Raw genomic sequence first — 20,623 nt, 5'->3', positions numbered from 1 at the left:
GTGGTTTATTCTTCCTTGTTTGGTTGTTGATCAAGAACTCAGTCACCAATTAGGCACGGTGGCTCAGGCCTATATTCCCAGCACTTCAGGAGGCCAAGGTGGGAGTATTGCTTGAGCCAGGAGTTTGAGACCAGCATAGCAAGATCCCATTTCCACAAAAAACATTTTTAAAAAATTAGCTGGGTGTGGTGGTATGTGCCTGTACTCCCAGCTACTCAGGAGGCTGAGGCAGGAGGATCACTTGAGGCCAGGAATTTGAGGTTACAGTGAGCTATGGTTGCACCACTGCACTCCAGCCAGGGCAACAGAGAGAGCCCCTTCCTCAGGGAAAAAAAAAAAAAAAAAAAAAAGAGCTGACCAAGGCCAGGCAGAGTGCTCAGTGTTTTCCATACATCCTTTCCTTTTACCTTCACCACAGCCCTCTGCAGGGGTTGTTTCTACCCCCATTTTATGGAAGATAAAACTGAACCTCAGGAGGCTGAAGTGACTTGCTCAAGAACATGGGCCAGGAAGCTATGGAGCCGAGATTCAAGCCCAGGCAATGGTTTCCCTTTGCTGACCGACCTGTGAAATTAGGCCCACCTGAGTCATGGATAATCCCACGGGCATCCTGCTCTTCTGGGGCAGTGGCTCACCTGAGCCCTGATCCTGATTAAAGCCTCTGCAAGGCCCCCAGGCCATGCTCTGAGCTCAGCCCCATCTCAGCTGGTTGACTGTAAGAGGATCCAGGGTGAGAAGTGCGGTCACCTGCAATTTAGAAGGGCAAGAATCATAGATTCCAACAGCTGGGATGGCTTCAGCCTCCCGCATCCACTGCCTGCTCTGCTTGGACTTGCCCCTGGCCTTCTGGGGTCCCAAGCTCAGTTACTCACATATCATTCCAGAACCATCTATGTTAGAAGTCAGGGGATTTTTCCAATTTCACCAATTACTTTCCATCCCAGGCCTTCACCTTTATTTATGGACAGAAAAACCTGGATGCAGAGTTCATGGCTGCTGTCAATGCAGATGAAATTTTAACAGTGGTGACATCCAAGAACCATCCTCCTCACAGTCCTGGTTTAGGCCAGGGGCTGGGGTCTCCTTTCTTCCATAATTAAAAATTCACTAGTGAGGACAGATTGCTCATCAATCTTTCATCCCAAAAGTCCCCGTGGAGAAGATGGGGGCACGGCTGATAAAGACAGGCCTGGCCGCCCACAGCTCTAGGATGACACTACAGTCTACAGGAGTTCAGGGCCTTGGGTAGGGAGCAGGTGGGCCCAGGGGAGCCTAGGGGGGCCCCTGGAGCACGGCTGGAAGGTGCTGGGCGTGACAGGTGGCCAGTTTTCAGCTTTCTGCCTCATATGGGCATCAGGGAGACATCAGGAAGAGGCCCACAGAGGGTCAGCAGACAAATGTGTGGAGCAAAACAGTCAGAGGGTGTCTCAATGACCGTGCAGCTAGTGCTGCTCCAGATAAAGCTTAATGGGGCGCTGCGTGTGTGGGCTTCTGCACAGGGCCAGCCCGGGAGCACAGCCTGGTCAGCGATGCTAGTTGTTCTTATCGTCATGTTGACGTGGTTACTTCTGTGCTGTGAGTGCCATGTAACTTCTCTGGGACTCAACTTCCTCATCTGTAATGTGGGAGTAATAGCAGTGCCCGCCTCATGGAGTTGGAATGAGGAGTAAATGCTCAGGTGTTTCAGATTTTAGCTTTGTGCCTGCTCAAAGGAACCCCTCCAGGTTGGCCTTATTAGTAAGATTGCTATTGTCAAAGGGAGCTAACTCCCCGTCTCCTGACATGGCCGCAGCCTCATGGATCCCAGGCCAGAAGGAAGGGACAGCCTGGTAAGCAAACAAAACACTGGCACTGCCACTCCCTGGCTGTGTGGCCGCTGCAAGCTCCACCCTTCTCCTGACCTCAGTTTCCCCATCTATACAAAGCAGTTGCTGGAGCTGACGATCACTTCTAGCTCCAGGTTCCAAGAAACCCTGCATTTGGCTGCCTCTTGTCGGGCTCGTGTTTTTCCCAGAAAAGATTTGGGGCGGGGAGCTCTGGGGCTCCCAAGCTGGCCCCGTGACTGCTCTGTGTTGGCCTCGTGGCTGTGGGTTCCCTGCAACTCTGCTCCTGGATCTCTGTGAACTCTGGGATGGGCTGTTTTTCTGGGAAGGGGACAGGCTGGCTCAACAGTGGGAGGAATTTGAAGGGTGTGCAGTAGAAGAGAACAGGATGGAGGGAGGGGGAAGGGAGGATCAGGGCCCAGCAAGCTCCAGGTGCTAAGGTGAGGGTAGCAAGGGTGGGGTGCCAGAGGACAGAGCAAAAGCTCAGGCTCAGGCCAGCTGAGCAGCACAGCAGGGCTCAGGAGAGCTCAGCACCAAGTGCCCGGTGTCATCTCATGGTCAGTGAGGTAGAATGGAGCCTTCAGACACTTCTCAGGACCTGGTTAGCCCTGGATTGGGGGCTGAGGGTGTGAACCCTGTGAGTGAGGAGGACACAGGGAGGCAGGGCTACTGTGCCGGATACCTGCCATTTGCCCCTCAGGATCTGCTCAGCACTGGTATCCTGCCTGCTGTGTGTCCAGGGAGGTGGCTGGTAGGGGCTGCACCAATGGGCTCCCTCTCCCTCTGGCTTCATGTTAGGTTTGGCCAATGAGAAGCTCTGGTGAGATATAGAGTGACCGGGAGAGAAGTTAGAGTATGTGTAGCCTCCCAGCTCCCTCCCTCAGGGTCAGGGTACCTTGGGCTGGCTGGATGCTTTGATCACAGGTGACAGCTCCCATCAAGCATCTGCTCTGCACAGCCCTCTCTGGAAGCCACCCCGTCCTCCCATCTCCTTCGGGACTAGGGGTGCGGGAAAGGAATCCCCCCTGCTTTCACTTCTCCCGGGAGCTGCACCGTCCTTCCAGGTTTCCCTACTCCTGCCACACCTTTGTAGAGTTCCTCCCTTAAACCCTCCTCAAATGACAGGGATACCCCCAAGTCCCTGACTGATTCAGTCCCCAGAGCCACAGGCCAGGAATATTGCAAAGGGCCCCAACCCCAGACTTTGTCCAGAGCCTGACTTTACCTTCTCACCCTTGATTTCTCTAAGGGACAAGCCCAGCCGTCTTCCTCCAGAGTTCCCAGTTTGTATGTCTGGATCCAGCAAAGAGGGGAGGATGCCCAGCCAAGCCTGGGAGATTTGTCTCCAGGAAGGAGGCGCAACTGAGCTGTGCAGGTCACAGCATCAGACACCAGAGCAGAGGGGAGCCCATCCTGCTGGCACCTGGCCCAGAGATGCAGCCCTCCCCAGCGGAGCCAGAAAGCCTGACTTTGCATGAAATCCTCTGGTTTCTATACTGGGATTGGCTCAAACAGTACGTTTAAAACTGTTTCAGTCAGATCTGAATCCCTGGCCCCCAGTTTGTGACTTGGAAAATACAAGCCCCCTTAACGTGCTTTTCTGCTCTCGTTTTCTCTTAGGTTTCCCTGTACTTAGAGCGTGGACTGTGAACCCCCAAGCAGACGGTGAGTGTGAGAGCCATGAGCCCTGGTTCACCTGGGGGCACCCATAGAAGCCCACTAGCATCTGTGTGCACCCAGAGCTTCTGGCAGCCTTGATTTAGAAACGCCCAGTTTGCAAACCGCCTCTCTGTGAAATCATCCACCCCAACTACCCAACACTCAGCCTCCCTAGCCCACTTCCCAAAACTGAAGCCCTCAGCAGTGGCTTTCAAAAACTCCTTCTATTAGTAGAGGAGGAGTAAAGGCAGAAGCAGGTCTGAAAGCTGCAGTTCGGGCTTATTTCCAGCCGGTGACCGCCTCCCCTGTCCTCGCAGAGCCTACGCATTGCCACTTTACCTTGGTGTGATATTCCACCAAAAGAGAAGTGCACTTGGCTTACTAAATGTCCTTTTGGGATAAAGAGCAATATTCCTGTGTGGGCTCTGTGGCTGTCATATCTGTTATTTACACGTCAGTATCTTTTAACGCCATCAGATGGTTTTTCAATTACTATCTCCCTGAGGTCAGTCCACTGAGGGGCATTTTCGGTTTGAAGCCTTGAGAAGGGGAAGCCTGGATGGGGCCTGGGAGCCTGCAGAGGTCCTTGGAGCTCAGTGGCCTTTTGAATTGAGCTGGCTCTGGGACCACAGTCTTTGGCCCCTGTCTTGGGTTGATGGAGCCACTGTGGGCTAGCCTGAAACCCTCACCATCATGGTGTCCCCGAGAAAACAAGCTTGAGGCTCTGAGCCATCTGTTTACAAACAAGTCTTAGGAGACACAGCCACTTTACCCTGGGGGACTATCTGGCAGTTCTCTGGAATGGGCCACAGAGGATCCCCTGCCAGTGGCTCCTGGGTGGCACTTCCCTGACAGCCTTGGGGGTGGGTGTGTGTGCAACTGGCTTCCTTCCTAGGCTGAATTAGCCACTGCTCCAAGGTTTGACAAGAGAGAGCCTGCCCCACCCAACACCCCCTCCCTGCAAACCTGTCACAGTGCCCAAATCACCACCATGCTTGTCACTCCTTGGAAGAGGATGGGGAAGAAACCTTGAAAGCTTCCATCAAAATATCATCTATAGGTTAGCTGTGGTTACTTCTAAGTTTAGAGATTATGGGCAATTTGGGTTTTCTGTGTTTTCTAAGTTTTATGTAATAAGCACATGTTTCTTTCATGGTTTCTTCCCAAGTGCTCTCTGGGGAGGTCTAGAAACCCATGGGCATACAAGTGTGTTGTAGTAGTGATCTGACCAGATTGGCCCCAGAAGACAGCAGGCCTCTGGGAGCTGGGGCGTGGGTACCTTTTGGTGGAAAAGCAAAAGGTGATGCTGGGGAGAGACTAAAGAGCTGGCAGGGGCGAAGCATGCTTCCTCCTCCGATTTTGCTGCTGCCGTGAGCTAAAGACCCAAAGCATGATAATTTTCTGAAAATAATGTGGACTTGATCTGTCACTTCTGTTCCACTGCTCATCACCTCGATAGCCTTGTCTCTTCCTCTCCACACTCAGCTCCTCCCAAGGCAGGGCCTTGTCTCCTTGTTCATGCCTGGGGCTCAGTGAGGTGCTAATTTGCGTGGGAACTGGTATTTGCCGTGCCCTACCATGTGCCAGGCACAGTACTAAGGTTCACCTCTTACATAGGTTCATCCTGAGAACAAGACGCAATGATTATCCCCGTTCTGCAGGCGAGGAGACTGAGGCTCAGAGAAGTGAAGTGACTTGCCCAAAGTCACTTGACCATTAAGATGCAGGACTGGAACCCAGTCCATCTGACTTCAAATACCTTGTTTTGCCACCATATCCCTGCAGAAATAACATTACGTTTGTAAAAGACTGGACAATGGATAAAACAATGTATTCATAGTTTCACTTCCCTGCCACGGCATGTTTGGGGTATTTTTGCTCTCCTTCCTGCTTTTATCTATATATGTATTTTCTTAGACACAGTCTCATTAGTGCATCCTTGTCTGGGCTGTTACACAGCTGTGGCTATTCTAGTGGGGTCAACACAGCGATAAGGGTTTGTGTCCCAGATGAGCAAATGGCCAGGTGGGCATGTTGGCCATCACCTGGTGGGGGCCAGGTGGGCCACACCAGCTCGTGCTCCCTTGGGGCACACACCAGCTTTGCGTCTTCCTGGTCCTGCACACTCATGTTGCTGGCAAGATGGGAAGGCAGAACAGGACACCAGGGCTGGATCTGGGAGCCGTCCTGCTGCTGCCCTGCTCAGCAGCTCGTCCCTGTGTGAAGACCAGCACTCTCAGACCCTCTGGAATAACGGCTAAGCCCTTGGTCTTTGGAGACAGGCAAAACTGAATTTTAATCCTGACTGCTTCCTTCTCAAGCTATGCATGGCCTTGGGCATGTGGGTGACTCCACCCCTTTGTGCCTTCGTTTCTTCACCTGTAAGATGGGTGTCCACTCCACAGAATGCTGAGCAAACAGCGAGGCCACCTCCTTTCGTTCCCTTCCTAAGTAACCAGGCTCTCACCTGAAGGGCAACTTCATTTTAGCCGGGGATGGCTGTCACTTTCTTGTATTGACTATAGGCGGGTAGATTGGGTTTTATTTTGTTTGTTTCTTTTTATTTTATCTAAAATTATAACAGAAACCCTGGGAATCTTTTAATATGTGTGATGAGACATTGTTATACCCCTGAGAGTGGCATAACCTACTAGAAAGTTTTAAAGGCTTTTAAAAAGTTTCCTCTTTCAAAATATAAGGAACTAGTAATTTCACTTCTAGGACATTTGCCCTGAGGAAATAACCCAAAATGTATACAAAGATTGATCTACAACGATGTGTATCACAGCAGTATTTATATTAGTTAACAATAGGAAACAATGCCAATGGCCAGCAGCAGGGAACTGGGAGTCAGTTGTGGCAATATAGATCACAGAAGGAAGATTCTGGGCAGCCATCGAAACTGTTTGAGATGAATTTTTAATAATGGAGGAGAAAATGTTCACATTTCAGTATTAAGTGAAAAGGCAATTTGCCAAAATTAAACTGTATTTTTTTAAATAGGTAGACAAAAACAGAAGTAAGCAAGAGAGAAAGAAGTGGGGAGAGAGAGAAAGAGAAGATAGAAGAAACAGATACAAAAGTGTGGGAGGATAACAGGTGACTTGTTTTTTTCTTTGTGCTTTTCTGCACTTTCTAAATTTCCCCTAGTGGAATGTTCACTGTTTATATAATCACAAAGAGGAGTTAGAGTTAAGAAAAAATCCTCTGCCCCCACCAATGAGTGTGTGTGTGTGTGTGCATTTTGCTAGTCAGCTGTATAAGAAAAATGGTTATGTTGGCACTTTTCATTCTAAAGTGCTCTTTTTCTCAAAAACAAATTTTTTTATTCAAAGCCAAGGTCAATGTCACATAGTCTTCCTTCTGTCCCTGGAGCTGCAGTTCTGAGGGAGCTGGCTTTGAGCCTGTATTCATGTATTCATGTTAGGGCTGCCATAACAAAGTGCCACAGACTGGAGGGCTTAAACGACAGATTCATTTCTCACAGTTCTAGAGGATAGAAGTTTAAGACCAAGGTGTTGGCAGGGCTGGTTTCCTCTAAGTCCTCTCTCTTTGGCTCCTAGACAGCTGACTTCTCCTATATCCTCACCTTCTGAATATGTCTGTGCTCAAATTTTTTCTTATAAAGACACCAGTCAGATTGAATAAGGGCCCACCCTAACGACTTCATTTTAACTTAATCACATCTTTAAAAACCCTATATCCAAATATAGTCCCATTCTGAAGTGGCAGGTGTTAGGATTTCACCATATGAATTTGGGGGACACAATTCAGGCTGTAACAGGGACAGCTTGTTCCTGGCAACTGAGACCATTTATTTTGCAGAGCACTGAACTTGGAACTGTAGTGGGATCGGGGGAGGGAGGTAAGTGTGGAAGGAAAACTCATGTCTCCATCCTTAATAAATCTCTGGAGAGGTGTGATGCAGACACCTAAGTAGGTGGTGCACTTGGTTACCACCTTACCTTCCCAGCGAGACCCAGAAGCAACAGTACAACCATCCCAGCTGAGCCCATCTATCACAGAGTGGCTGCTCAAGGCCATAGCAAAATAGTTCATCCTGAAAACATTAATTTTACTAAGAAACTCTCATGAAGTGAGAAGAAGTGAGTTAGAGATAAACAATTTGATAGTTGAAATGGGCTTCTGGACATTAAAATCTGAATATAAAAAATAATTTTTCTTAGCATCAACTCCAAAGTGATTTTGATTTATAAAATCAGTGGTGGAGAGAAGGACTAGGATGAGCAAGTTGGATGTGGATGGTGATGGTTGCTGAGTTTAGCAGAAACAAAGCTTCACCTCTGTGGACCTTGACACTGGCTTCAAGGTCCTTCTGTCCCTTGTCAGCTGACCTTCTTAGATCACTGTGGGTCAAAACCACTCTGAGGGGCTGGCCGTTGGACTGTTGGAGCTCAGTGTAAGGTGAGAGTGTGGCAAAGATACCCTCAAATATCTCTGCAAATGTCTTGCTTCCTGTCTTTGCCTAAATCCAAAACTTGGAGTCATCCTTGACCCTCCCTTCGTTTCTGCTCATGTCTTGACTGTCATTGTCTTCTATCTACTCCTGGGGACATCACAAAATCCAGGTCACCACCATGTCTTGCCTAGACCACTGGGTCAGCCTCCTGGTTGCTCCCGCTCCTACACCTGTCCCTGATCACCCACCCCATGGCAGCAGCCAGACAGGTCCTTTGAAAACACAGATCTGCTCGCATCACTCCCTGACTGTAACCCTCCAGCAGCTTCCTGATGTCCTGAGGCTAAAATCCAAGCTCTCCTGACAATAGTGGTTTAGGGTGCTTCCTGCCTTCACCTCTGGCCTCTGATCCCACCAGCCCCCTGTTCTCTGTGTCCAAGTGATGCTCAGCTTCCATGTCTCCAATGCTTCTCACTCTACTCACAGGGTAGAATCCAGGACCGTGCATGAGATCCTGGAATTGAGGGGACACTTGATTGAGAAAACAGCCCCATGACATATGACAACTTGGTTTCAGCATTTTTCTCTTATTCTCTTATAGCAAAGTCTCTTCTCTCAGCAGCTTTTCTGGGAGACTGAAAATTGGTCACTATTCCTAGAGGTCTACTTGGTACTGACTCTTTATTTCTTGCCTAAATGTCTTGGGACTCCGTGCTGTGGTAGATGTTAGCAAGGGAGTCAACCAAATAAAGTCCTGTGGGCCTGCTTCCATCCTGCCTCTCATAGAACCCTCACAGCCACTCTGGGACATAGGTCAGTGGTATTACCATTATCCCCACTCTACAGACAACAAAACTGAGGCACAGGGAGGGGAGGCCACTTGCCAAAGCTCACCCAACTACGATGCGGGAGAAAAGATTAAAACCCAAGTCACGAGACTGCAATTCAATGTATTTTTCTCATTTGTGTTTCTATGTTTAATCTTGTGATTTTTGAAGGAAATGACCTGGCGCATTGTGCTTTCAGAGCATCTGTTTGTTACCTACTAACAAAGCACTTTTTCTCTTGAGCTCAAGCTGTTGAAACTGTACAGCCCTACAGCGATTCCTGCCACATCTGTGTAAATAAATCCTTATAACAACCAGCTGGAAAGCAAAACGTTCCAGGAGGTACCAGATCATTTATATGATACCTCTTCCAGCTGGCCAGTTTTCTTGGTGGCACGTAATTTATTCATTCATTCAGCAAATACATACGGAGCCAAACACTAGGAATACGGCAGTGAACAAAGTAGACGTGGTTCCTGCCTTCAGGGAGCTGACATTCTCCTAAGGGAGATGGACAATAATCAAATAAACAAATGCATATGTAATATGCCGTAAAGGCTGTCAAGGAGAATACAGCTGGGTGAGAGGAGAGAGGGGGAGGGGCTACTTTATATAAGGTGCTCAGGGAAGGCTTCTTGGAGGAGGTGACCTTTCAGGCTGGAATGAGGGAATGAAAACCAAGAACAACATTCCAGGGAAAGGGACAAGCAAAAGCCTGAGGCAGGCTGAAGCTTGGGATGTTTGGGGAACATCAAGGAAGCCAGGAAGACAAAGGACAGCACAGGGGAGGGAGAAGTGAGAGGTGAGGTCAGAGAGCTAGGTGAGGGGCTGTGCCTTAATTCCAGGGGAGGTGGGGAACTCGAGGGTCTTGAGTGGGCTGGGTGGGGGATACAGGCTCCCCAAGCTGCTGTTTGGAGAGTCTGCTGCAGGGGGCAAGGGCGGAAGCAGGGAGAATGTTACCATTATCCGGGTAAGAGATGATGGCAGCCGGGCCAGGACAGTGGCAGTGGAGGAGAGAAGTAGCTGTGTTCCAAACAGCTGTGACAGTTGAGCTGACCTGACCTAGTCTCACACTGGGGGTGAGATTAGAAGGAAAAAGAAGAATCAAAGGTGATGGGGTGTGTTTTGACACCAATGGTGTTTTATAAGTCATCAAGGGCACTAATCACCCAGAGCTAATGCAGACCCCACAAGTTAAAGGGCACAGTCTGCAATAAGACTGCCCCCACTTAGATGCCAACTACCAGGAGGGTCCCCAAGCTGCCCGCAGTTCTGACCAGCTGGCAACAAACTCAGGGGTTCCCACAACCCCCTCTGGTTTGATAATTCACTAGAATGACTCACCAAACTCAGAGAAGTGCCGCTTTTATGATTACCACTTTGCTGTGAAGGATACAAATCAGGACCAGCCACACACAGGGTGAGGTCTGGAAGGGCCCTGAACACAGAGCTCCCACACATTTTTCAGGGCATGAAATCAAGGCACATCACCTCCCAGGAACATCATTGTGTTCACCAACTGGAAACTCCACTGAGCTTTGGTGTCCAGAGTTTTTATTAGAGCCTCATCACATAGACATGATTGACTGAATCATCAGCCATGAGACTGAACTCAATCTTCAGCCCCCTCCCCTCGGTGGAGGCCAGGCTGGCTCAAAGCCCCAACTCTGTAATGGCATGGTTGTTCCTTCTGGTGCCCAGCCCCCATCCTGACTCATCTCATCTCTTAGCATAAACTCTAAGGGGTTCATGAATAACAAAGATACTCCTACCATGTGGGAATTTCCAAGGAGTTAGAGTTTGCCTTCCAGGAACCAGGGATGAAAGCCTGTCAAAGTTTTATTATACAACCATATAACCAGTTGGAGGCTGGTGCTATTTACTAAGACCAGCAGAAGACCAGAGAGGGGGCAATAGGTTTGGTACAGGAAAACAGAGGGTAATGGTGTGGATGTGTTAACTTTAAAATGTTCATTAGATATCAAAGTGGAAATGTGGCACAGGCAGTTGGAGTTATGACTCTGCAGCTCAGGGAGATATCAGTATATAGATCGTATTTAAAGCCATGGGGCTGGATAACTGAGGAAGCCAGTGTCTTTAGGGAGAAAAAAAAGAGCTCACAGCTATGCCTTGAAGTGTCCCACACTTAGTAGTGGGGAGAGGAAGGGCCAGCAAAGCAAATAGAGGAGGAGGGGCCAGAGAGGTAGGAGGAGAACCAAGGGAGTACGCAGGGGTCCCCAGGCAAGTGCTTTGCAAGGAAGGGTGAGCAGCAGTGTCAAATGCTTCTACAGGCCAAGGAAGGGGAGGACCAAGAAATGGCCTCTGGACTCGGCAAGATGAGGGCCACAGTAATCTTGAGCTGAGTTGCTTCTGGAAAGGAGAGGTGACAAAAGCTAATTGAAGAGGACCAAGGTGGGAACGGTTAGTGAGGAAGCAGAGATAGGGAGTGAAGAGCCCAGAGGGGCTGGGGACCTGGGGAGGGGTTAAAGTGGGAGCTTTCATAGCACAGGTGTCATAGCACACCTGGTGGCCAGAGAGCATATGCAGCACCTGCCGTGTGCCCAGTGCTGAGCCAGGAGTTGTAGGTGTCTTCTGGAAGCTCAGAGTGTGGTTGGAGAGGAGAGATGGGAGTCACCATCCATACTCTAGAACAGAGAGTGTAAAATGCGATGCTGGCTGGCAGAAATGTAGACAGGAGAAACCATTTCTAACTGGGGTAATCAGGATAGGCGTAACAACCATAGCTATTTCTGTTGAGCATCTTCTGTGTACCTGGGAATATGCTGGGCCCCTGAAATGCATTCTCCTATCTAACACTTATGACACTGGTGGTGTCTCCATTTTACAGGTGAGAAAACTAAGGCTTAGAGAGATGGAGTCACTGGTCCAACGTTACACTCTTAGGAATTGCCAGAGTTAGAAGTGAATGACGATGGGAAAGGATGTCTATAGGCAAAGTTCGGTAGGGCGAGGAGACGGGCAGAAATGAGGACTCAAACACAAGAGAAGCCTATGTGAGTTTGGGAGATCCTGGGTGAGGACCCAGTCAGAGAAGAAGTGGAACACGTGAGTCCCATGTGAGTCGCTCAAAAGAGGGACCCAGTGCCCCCCAAGCACATGTCACTGATGGTGTAGGCTCAGGGAGCTCCTTGACCCCTTGGGCTGCCTTCCTCTGGCCAGGGGAGAGTGCAGATGTCGGTGGACAGGACTGAAGCAAGAGAGAGCTCAAGGGGAGAGGAGTGGAGGCTGGACGACACCGATGTATCCCTGACCTTTGCCAATACTTTCCCACACCCCTCTGCCCAAGCTCTCCGCAGCCACACCCCAACGCCAAACATGCCCAGGCCAGGGAGGTGCCCCTGCTCATAGCCCTCACAGTTCCTTGTCTTTAAACAGGGTCAGAGGGCCTTGCCCACCCCTGCCAGGGAGCGTAATTATGACCTAAAACAACATGTGGGGAGACAGCATTACGAAGAAATGTCCCCCCAAAACCAGGAGTCACACCCTCATTCAGGAGTGGTGGGAACCACCCGTTCTAACAGGCAGACGGTGCCTCCTGAGGGTGGATTTGGAGCTGTTTGATTTGGAAATGTCTCTGATCTATGGAGACACCCCTGCGAGCCCTCAGGTTCTGGTTTCTCATCTGTGAAAAGGGTGCATCCTGGTTGAGTCAGGCTGCAGGTTGCCTGCTGAGAGGGACTGTCAGCGAGCCCAGCCGGGCAGGATGCACTGTTATAACCTCGTGTGGTCACCAAGTGAAGCTCTCCAGCCTCTGCTGGGCTTGACACAGTCTCTTGGCATGCCAGGGCTGCAGGGGTCTTCCATGCCTCCCAGTTCTCAGAGGGGTAGACCGAGACCCAGAGAGACCAGCCTAAGGTTCCCTCCAGCATGTGTTGATATTTCCTTCCCAAATCTTTATAGCATGAAAGCAGAGGAGAGAGATATGAAGGGAGGGGAAAAGGAAAAGAGATGGGGAGAGGGATGAGACCCAGGAAGATATGTGGATTTGGGAGGATGGAGGCTCACTTTTGCTTGCGAGAAGGAAACTTGAAGATTGAACAGGGCCAAGAACATTCTTAATTTGGAACCTATCATTCCATCACTTTACCCGGAAGTCCATAACCCCACTACTCCATTCACCTCATGCAGTGAATACGTTTAGGGGTTTAGTTGCAGATTCTTGGGGTGAGTGGGCTGGGGAGGAGAAGCAGCTAGAAGCAGAAAAATGCTTAGTGATGCCGCCTCGAAGGCATGACATCCTGCTGTGCCTGGGCACACGTGTATTTGAAAGGGGCTCAAAAATTGGGGGTGGGGAACTGGGATGGATAGTATCTGTGATCTAGAGGCCAGCCGTGAGTGAGCTGCACTTTCTTCCAACCCATTTAGGGTTGGAAGAAAGGCTCATGCCCTTCGGCTTCAAGGAATGTGATCATCAGACCTCCAGTGCCAGAGCTTGGAATAGTGGGCCAGATAAAAAAAAATTTTACACACACACACACGATATATATTTTTTCCTGTCATATATATATATATATACATGTATATATATATTTATGCATATATGTGTATATATGTGTGTGTGTGTGTGTGTGTGTGTGTATGTGTGTATATGTATATGTGTATGAGAAGCACAAGAAGACAAAAAGAGAAACAGGAAGGAGCAAAGGAACCAGGAATGGTCAGACTGAGTCAGGATTTTTCCAGGGCTGCGATGAGCCCATTGGCGGAAATGGAGATGGTGAGGTGACATCAGAAGCCCCATTGTGGCCGAGGATGGGAGAGAGGGAGCTGCAGTCCTTGAAGGGTCACTCAGTGCCAGGCCAAACAGCCCACTCCCCCGTGAATTGATCAGAGACACTGCAGTGCCCCAGCCCCTTAGGATGACAGTGATGTCCACCTCATCAGCCCTGAGCCATCTAAAGATGCTGAGAGTACCAGTGAGGGCTGCTGCACCTTGTGATTTTGTATGCATTCCCATTAAAACAAAACAAGACCCAAAACCTAGTTGGCAGAGGAGCTGGCTCTTAAAGGGTTAACCCTCAGTTACCTGGACCTCCAGGTAGGCCTCCCCTTGCACACACCTGTCAGAGGATCTCCCGCTGCCCAACCAGTGGCATTTCTATACTGGCAAGTGCTTTACCATCCAACCCCCACCGATGGCCTCTGTTGGCTGACTTTCTTTCATTTTCTTTCTTTTTACACACACTTGGAAAGCTCCCGGCTTCAGCCAGGCGCGCCGAGGAGGCTTGGAGTAGCAGGGCTGATCGATGCCGGGAGGCTCCTTGCGGCTGCCAGAGCCGTAGTCATGGGTGGGGGCGGCTGTGGGCTCTGCAGCAGCGGCTCTCTGTGTCTCTGCCCTGCTGCTGGCAGCCAGAGTTCCAGACAGCTCCCTGCCCTCCAGACCCTCAGCCCAGAGTCCCAGAGCCCAGGGCACAGGAGAGGCCTGCTCCTGGGTTACAGCTTGCCTGGTACACACCCAGGAGGGTAAGTGAGGGACGTGGGTGCAGTAGAGCCACGGGGTCCTGAGACAGAGCTGATAGAGCTGTTGGTGCCAGGGCTATGGCTGTTTCGATTGGAGGAGGAAACAGCTCAGAGTCCGTTCCTGCTCATTCCATGAAGCAGCGGCAGGACTTGGCTCTGCCAAAACTCAAGGTGGCCCGGAATTCCGGGGAAGGAAGGTTGCTGTTGGCTTGCAGTCAAGGCAAGGGGGTTATAGGACTTCCCCAAAGGACCTGAGCTCTTTCCCTCATTTTTTACCAGATGTTTATTGAGGGCCTTGTGCACGCCAGCTCCCTGCTAGGCACCAGGGGATTTAGTAGGACTGAAATAGGCCTCTCCCCAGCAGCGCCCCTAGTCTTGCCAAGAGAATGGTTTCTTAGATAACTGTAGTACCATGTGAGGTGTGATAAGAGAGGGTCTGGCCAGGGGAGGAAGAGGCCAGTGGGGCCTCAGGGTGCTGGAGAAGATTTTACAGATGAAGGGCCATTTCAACCAGGTCTTGGCAGATGAGTAAGAGTTCTTCAGGGAACAAAGGGCAGCCAAAATCTTATGAGTGACTGCAAAGAGATTTGAACATACAAAATGTGATCGTATGTGGTGACGGGCTCGGCAGGTCTGAGCAGAGGCTGCAGAGAGCCAGCAGAGGAAACTGACAGGGCCTCATCACCAAAGGCCTCCAAGGCCAGTTGAGGGAGTCAGGACTTGGTCTTACAGACAGGTGAGAGACACTGAAGATTTTAATTTTTTTGTTAAGAGGTAAGGTCTCACTATGTGGCCCAGGCTGGAGTGCAGTGGCACAATCATTGCTCACTGCAGCTTCAAACTCCTGGGCTCAAGTGATCCTCCCACCTCAGCCTCCCCAGTAGCTGGGACTACAGGCACAAGCCACCATGCCCAGTGGCACTGCAGACTTTATAATGGGGGCTTGATGTGGTCAGCTTTGCATCTTAGAAAACTACAGTGTGGATGGAGTGAGGAGGGAGACAGGGACCTTCCAGAGAAGAAAGCTATGACTTAAAAATCCTAGAGGCCAGTGCTTAGACCAAGGCAGTGGAGTCAGGAGGTAGACAGCAGGGGACAGCTCTGCTCTTTTCCGAGTTTGAGTGACAAGGGTCAATCGTGAAGGAAAAGGAAGTGTCAGGGATGATTTCAAAGTGGACAGTGAGGCCTGGGTGGGTGATGCTGCCTCTTGATGAGAGAGGGGACAAGGGGAGAAGGAGCAGGTGGAAGAGAGAGGGAGGGAGGTCATAAGGTCAAATCTGGTCACACTGGGACCTGACTTCGATATAGTATCACCCCCCTAGACCCCTGCCCTAGCAAGCTTCATGGTAAACCCTGGTGATGCTGAGTCAATGCCAGATTTATCATCCACACACCCTCCAAATCTACATGTGGTCACTGAACTTGTGATAGCTGCCACACTCAAACAGAAAGATCTCACCCTGCACCTACAGCAGGCTTAGCTTGGCCCTCGCTGCTTGGGGTTGCACCCCCTTTCCATCTAAGTGCAAGTGTGGAAAGTGGATGCCATGTCCCTAGTGTGGATAGATTTTTCAGGTATTGAATGGCAATGCCACTGAGCAGGTTGGTTGTGCAGAGCCTACCCTAGAAATGGATCATTTAGAAAGGTTCTGTGTCCTGGCCAGGGTGCCAGGTGTGCAGGGGTCAGGGATACCTGGGGGATGGCTAATGGGGCACTGCCTTGGCTCACCACTGACCCCTCTCCAGGGAGTCCAGGGACTCTGCCTGGCTTTGGAAAAGACCTTGGCTTAGGAGAAATGGAAATGTCAGGGAGCAATGGTTTCTAAGGTCCAGGGCTGGAGGTCTGGGAGTGCCCAGCTTTGTGGGGGATTCCTGGTTGGAAGTACTGCAACTAAACAACTTCCTTTGCAGCTTCCTCCACTGTTTCAGGCTCTGTTCTGGGCTTTCCACTGCCTGGGCTTATTCAACCCTCACACAAGTGGATCAGAGAGGAGAAGCAACTGGCCAGTGTCACACAGCCAGTACGTGGTCAACCAGCTTCCTGCCGACCGCCAAGCCAGTGCCACATCTTGTCTCTGTGTGAAGTTGGAAAAGATAGAACATTTTTAAAAAGTATGAGATTCATACCTGAGTTGCCAAATTAAATGTTTTTAAGACAAAGGTTGATGGGAACAGTCTCTCTCTCTCTCTCTCTGTCTCTCTCTCTCTCTTTCTTTCTCTCTCTCTCTCTCTCCCCCCCTCCCCCTCTCCCTCTCCCTCTCTCTCTCTCTCTCTCTCTCTCTGTGTGTGTGTGTGTGTGTGTGTGTGTGTGTGTTTAGACTCCGTCATTACACTTACGTTTACTGTGCACCTACTATGTGCCAGGCCCTGGGGATACAGCAGTGACTGAGGGAGACTTAGGGAGGAATGGATAGGAGTATGGGGAAAGGTCTTATACATAAGCAGGTGTGTAAAACACACATACACACAGACACACACATTAGTGCTCCAAACCGTTGTAAAAGTAGACACATTTACCTGGCACAGACACACAGATACACATCTCCAAAACTCCCCTGCATGCACATGTGTACCTCCGCTGCACACACGTCCACCCACAGGATTCAGACTGACTTCCAGAGTTAACTAAGTAAGGGAACTGGACCTCCAACCCAATATACAAGCCAGGAGGATTGGAAGTCTTGCACTCCCTACTTCACCAAAGACTAGCAAAGGACCTTAATCCTGGCTTTTAACTCCACCCCCCTGGTCAGGGGCTGAGATCTTGGGGTTAGATGGTGCGGACTACAGCTTTGCCCAAGGACTCTGCTAAGAGTCATTGCCACCATCTATTAAACACAAGCCAGGCTCTTGACATGCATTGCCTCCTCTCACATACACTCTGGCCGTGGAGTATATGGGTACAGTACTACCCTCATTTTATAGATGAGAAAACTGAGGCTCAGAGAGCTGCGTTATCTCACCGGGGGTCTCATGCAGATCACAAGCGGCAGAGCCCAGATTGAACACTGAACTCCTCCACTGGAAACAGCAACCCGAGTCCTTAGGTTGTTTTTTTGTTTTTGTTTTTGTTTTTAGAGATTAAAGTCTTGCTCTGCACCCAGGCTGGAGTGCGGTGGTACAATCGTAGCTCGCTGCAGCCTTGAACTTCTGGACTCAAGCAAACCTCCCATCTCAGCCTCCAGAGTAGCTGAGACCACAGGTGCATACCACCACAGCCAACTGATTTTAAAAAAAAATGTAGAGGGCTGGGCATGGTGGCTCACGCCTGTAATCACAGCACTTTGGGAGGCTGAGGCAGGCAGATCACTTGAGGTCAGGAGTTCAAGACCAGCCTGGCCAACATGGCGAAACCTCATCTCTACTAAAAATACAAAAATTAGCTAGGCATGGTGATGCATGCCTGTAGTCCCAGCTACTCAGGAGGCTGAGGCAGGAGAATCACTTGAACCCGGGAGGCGGAGGTTGCAGTGAGCCGATATTGCACCACTGCACTCCCACCTGGGTGGCAGAGTGAGACTCTGTCTCAAAAAAAAAAAAACTGTAAAGATAGGGTCCCAGTGTGTTGGCCAGGCTAGTCTCGAAATGCTGGCCTCAAGCAATCCTCCAGCTCCAGCCTCACAAACTGTTCTTAGGTCTTTATTTCCTGACAAGCTAAGGAGCCCCAGCTCTGGTTCCCAGAACTGTTCCCCAGTTTCCCCCCAGCCTGCCCTCTCTGGTCCATGACTTGTCAGGCAGGGAAAAAGAAAGACTTTGAGCCTAACAGAGGCAAGGAGGCTATTGCCCAGGGATGGTGAACAGGCCAGCTTTGGAATCAGACCCTGGGCTCCAGCCTCAGTCTTTCCATATGTAGAATAGAGATGATACTAGCATCCCACATTGACCTCTGTTGAGCATTAAATGAGAGGACGTATGGAAATGCTTAGCCTGGAGCCCAGCACATAGGCTAGTATTGTTGTCGCTATTTTCTTGTTACTGTCAGCATCTGCCCATCACCCATGAACAATTTCCTGAAGACCCATTTTGTGAAGTAGTTAGTGTGTTATTCCCTAGAGATGTGGAGTGGGCTCATACTCTAGTGGCAGAGATGGAAGTATTAATAAACGAGGATGCTTTGGTGCAATAGATGCTTGGAAGGATGTCTGTACAGTGGGGACACAGAAGGCTGTGGCATATTCTATTAAAAGCAGCAGGAGCACTTTTAATAGACAGGGTAAAAAGGGCATTCCAGGAGGAGGGATCAGCAGGGGCTAAAGCTCAGAACAAGAACAGTTGAATGCACTGGGAAAGCTGTACATGGAGGAGGGGGAGCAGGTTTTAATATCCACAGGCCCCACACCCACGAGCTGTGAAAAAAGTAGGCTGGGTAGAAGACAATATGGAGTGGTGGAGACTGTGGCCAATTGGAAAGGGCTTGATGGCTCTAAAGGGAAGTAGGACTCTGCTCCATGCAATTATTAATATGAAGAGAAGCTGGCCTAGTGTTACCTGGTCTTCCAAGTTTTCCAGAGATGTCAGGGACCCAGGTTTTTATGTGGAATCTCTTGACTTCAAAACACTGAGCCAACACTGGGAAAACCAAACAGAATAGAAGGGGGCTGCCAGTTTGCAGTCCTAGTTTAGACCCAACAGTGGGGCATGTGGTGGTAGGTGATATGAGAAGCTATGGATTCCAGACTCTGTGCAGACAGGCTTGTGTCTGATAGCTGGGGGCCAAGACCTGGCCCACAAGAAGCACCCAATCAATACTTGGTCTGCAGAGGAGTTAGGGAGTTTGGACTTCATCCGGAAGGTTAGGGGAGACTGTGAGGTTTGGGGCAGAGAAGTGAAACAATGGGAAGTGTGTTGTATGACTTTAGCCCACCTGCCATGTGGAGGCTGGCTTGGAGAGAAGAGATGGCAGCTAGGGAGGTGGGTGGATGTCTTAACAGGGCTCCAGGCAGAAGGTGATGGTGACCTGGGCCATGGCTACGGGGTGAGAGGGGAGGAGAGATCCTAGAAGGGTCAAATTTATGCAGAGATTGACTTGGAGAGTGTGAGGGAGGTGAGGCCAAGGTGCCTGCCAGCTCCCTGACCCACCTGGGTAACTCAGTGGTGTTTCTCACCAAGTTGGGGCATCTGGGAGGAGAAAAGTATGGAGGCAGAGGGAGGAGGGGTGATAACTCTAGCTTGGACCATGTTAAGTTTAGATGCCTGTGGGACTCCCAAGGGAAGACCTGCCACCCAGTCAAACATATATCTCTCAGGGGAGGGAGGGCTGAAGACAGAATGATACCTCCACCCTGACTGGGTCTTACCCTCCTCCAGGGACCCAAAAGACCTTCATTTCCTTTGTGGTTGCTCTGTCGTCTGAGAGTTAAGTCTATTTATTGGGCTTAGATTTGTTTTTTTTTCCTGGAAAGACTGAAGGAGAAGGTGGATTGATATGTAATGCCAGAACGAAGATCTGTGAACACCTCAGCTCTGATTCATTTTTCTTAGCCCTACCCCCGTGATCTGGGCAGCTGGGGGAGGAGGAACAGAGGGTAGAGAACAGCTGGGTTACCGGGGCCCCACAGTAACCACATCAGTAAAATCTCATTTCCAGGAGCTAAGTCTGAACTCTGTTATCATGAACGCTTGCAAGAGGGCTCTTACCTGCACTTGACAGAAGCAAAGGCTTTGCTAAGCAGATTGACGGTGTCACAAGCCCACTTAGGAGAGCAGGCTTTTAGCAGCAGCATTTGCATTCCAACAATGAGTGTGCAAATTATAAATGACTACTTCTCTATTTTTAAAGCGATTTTAAGACTCCTCATCTGCTGTCAAGAATGTCACTGAACATACCAAGGACACTCACAGCAATGCTGTGATCCTTTTGAAAAGAAACGATTCTATTAGAGAACTGACGTGTATCGAGCATCTGCCAAACACACCGGGCACCGTGCTAGGCATTTTAGAGGCATCGGCTCATTTAGGCCTCTACCCCAGGGGGATGAAGTCATTATTTTCTTACCAAGGAAATGAAGCCAGGCCCAGAGAAGGTGAACTGCTGCTGTAGGCTTGCTCAGCTCAAGAGGGCCGGGGTCACCAGGGCTGGATGCGGGGTCTGAGTTCTTCCTGACACACCTCATCATCGTTTCTCACCAGTTCAGGTTTCTGCCTCTTGGCCAGTGGAAGGATGGCCTTAAATAGGGCTTCACAGCCTTGAGAGAACAGAGGGGATGTGGGAGAAAGTGAAAGAGAGGGTGCTGAGAAGTTAAGAAAAGAAGGAGGCTCAGTTCAGAGAGAAGAGAAATGAAACAGCCCCAAAAGTGGAGGAGGAGGGAGGCTCTGAGGTGTGGTACCAGGTGTGGCCCAGTTCAAAGCCCAGTTTGCCAGGAGCTCACCTTGGGCAAATGCTTTATCCACCTGTGAAGGGTGGAGTTTGGCCT

At 50.0% G+C, this 20,623-nt stretch overlaps 1 protein-coding gene across 6 annotated transcripts in view; it reads left to right on the top strand.

Moving 5' to 3' along the window:
- Nucleotides 1-20,623, top strand: part of ATP2B2 (ATPase plasma membrane Ca2+ transporting 2) — a 384,094-nt gene that overhangs the window by 84,712 nt on the left and 278,759 nt on the right. For 5 of the 6 annotated variants that reach the window (NM_001438036.1, XM_017006484.3, XM_006713175.5 and 2 more), the window contains one exon: nt 3,444-3,488. The gene's annotated coding sequence lies outside the window, so the exon portion shown is untranslated. Of the gene's footprint in view, nt 1-3,443; nt 3,489-6,485; nt 6,582-20,623 lie in introns of those variants that run through there. The other variant, XM_017006481.3, reaches the window with a different exon arrangement.

Source organism: Homo sapiens, chromosome 3 (assembly GCF_000001405.40).
Source record: "Homo sapiens chromosome 3, GRCh38.p14 Primary Assembly".
NCBI lineage: Eukaryota > Metazoa > Chordata > Mammalia > Primates > Hominidae > Homo > Homo sapiens.
This window is presented reverse-complemented; position numbering and strand designations above follow the sequence as displayed.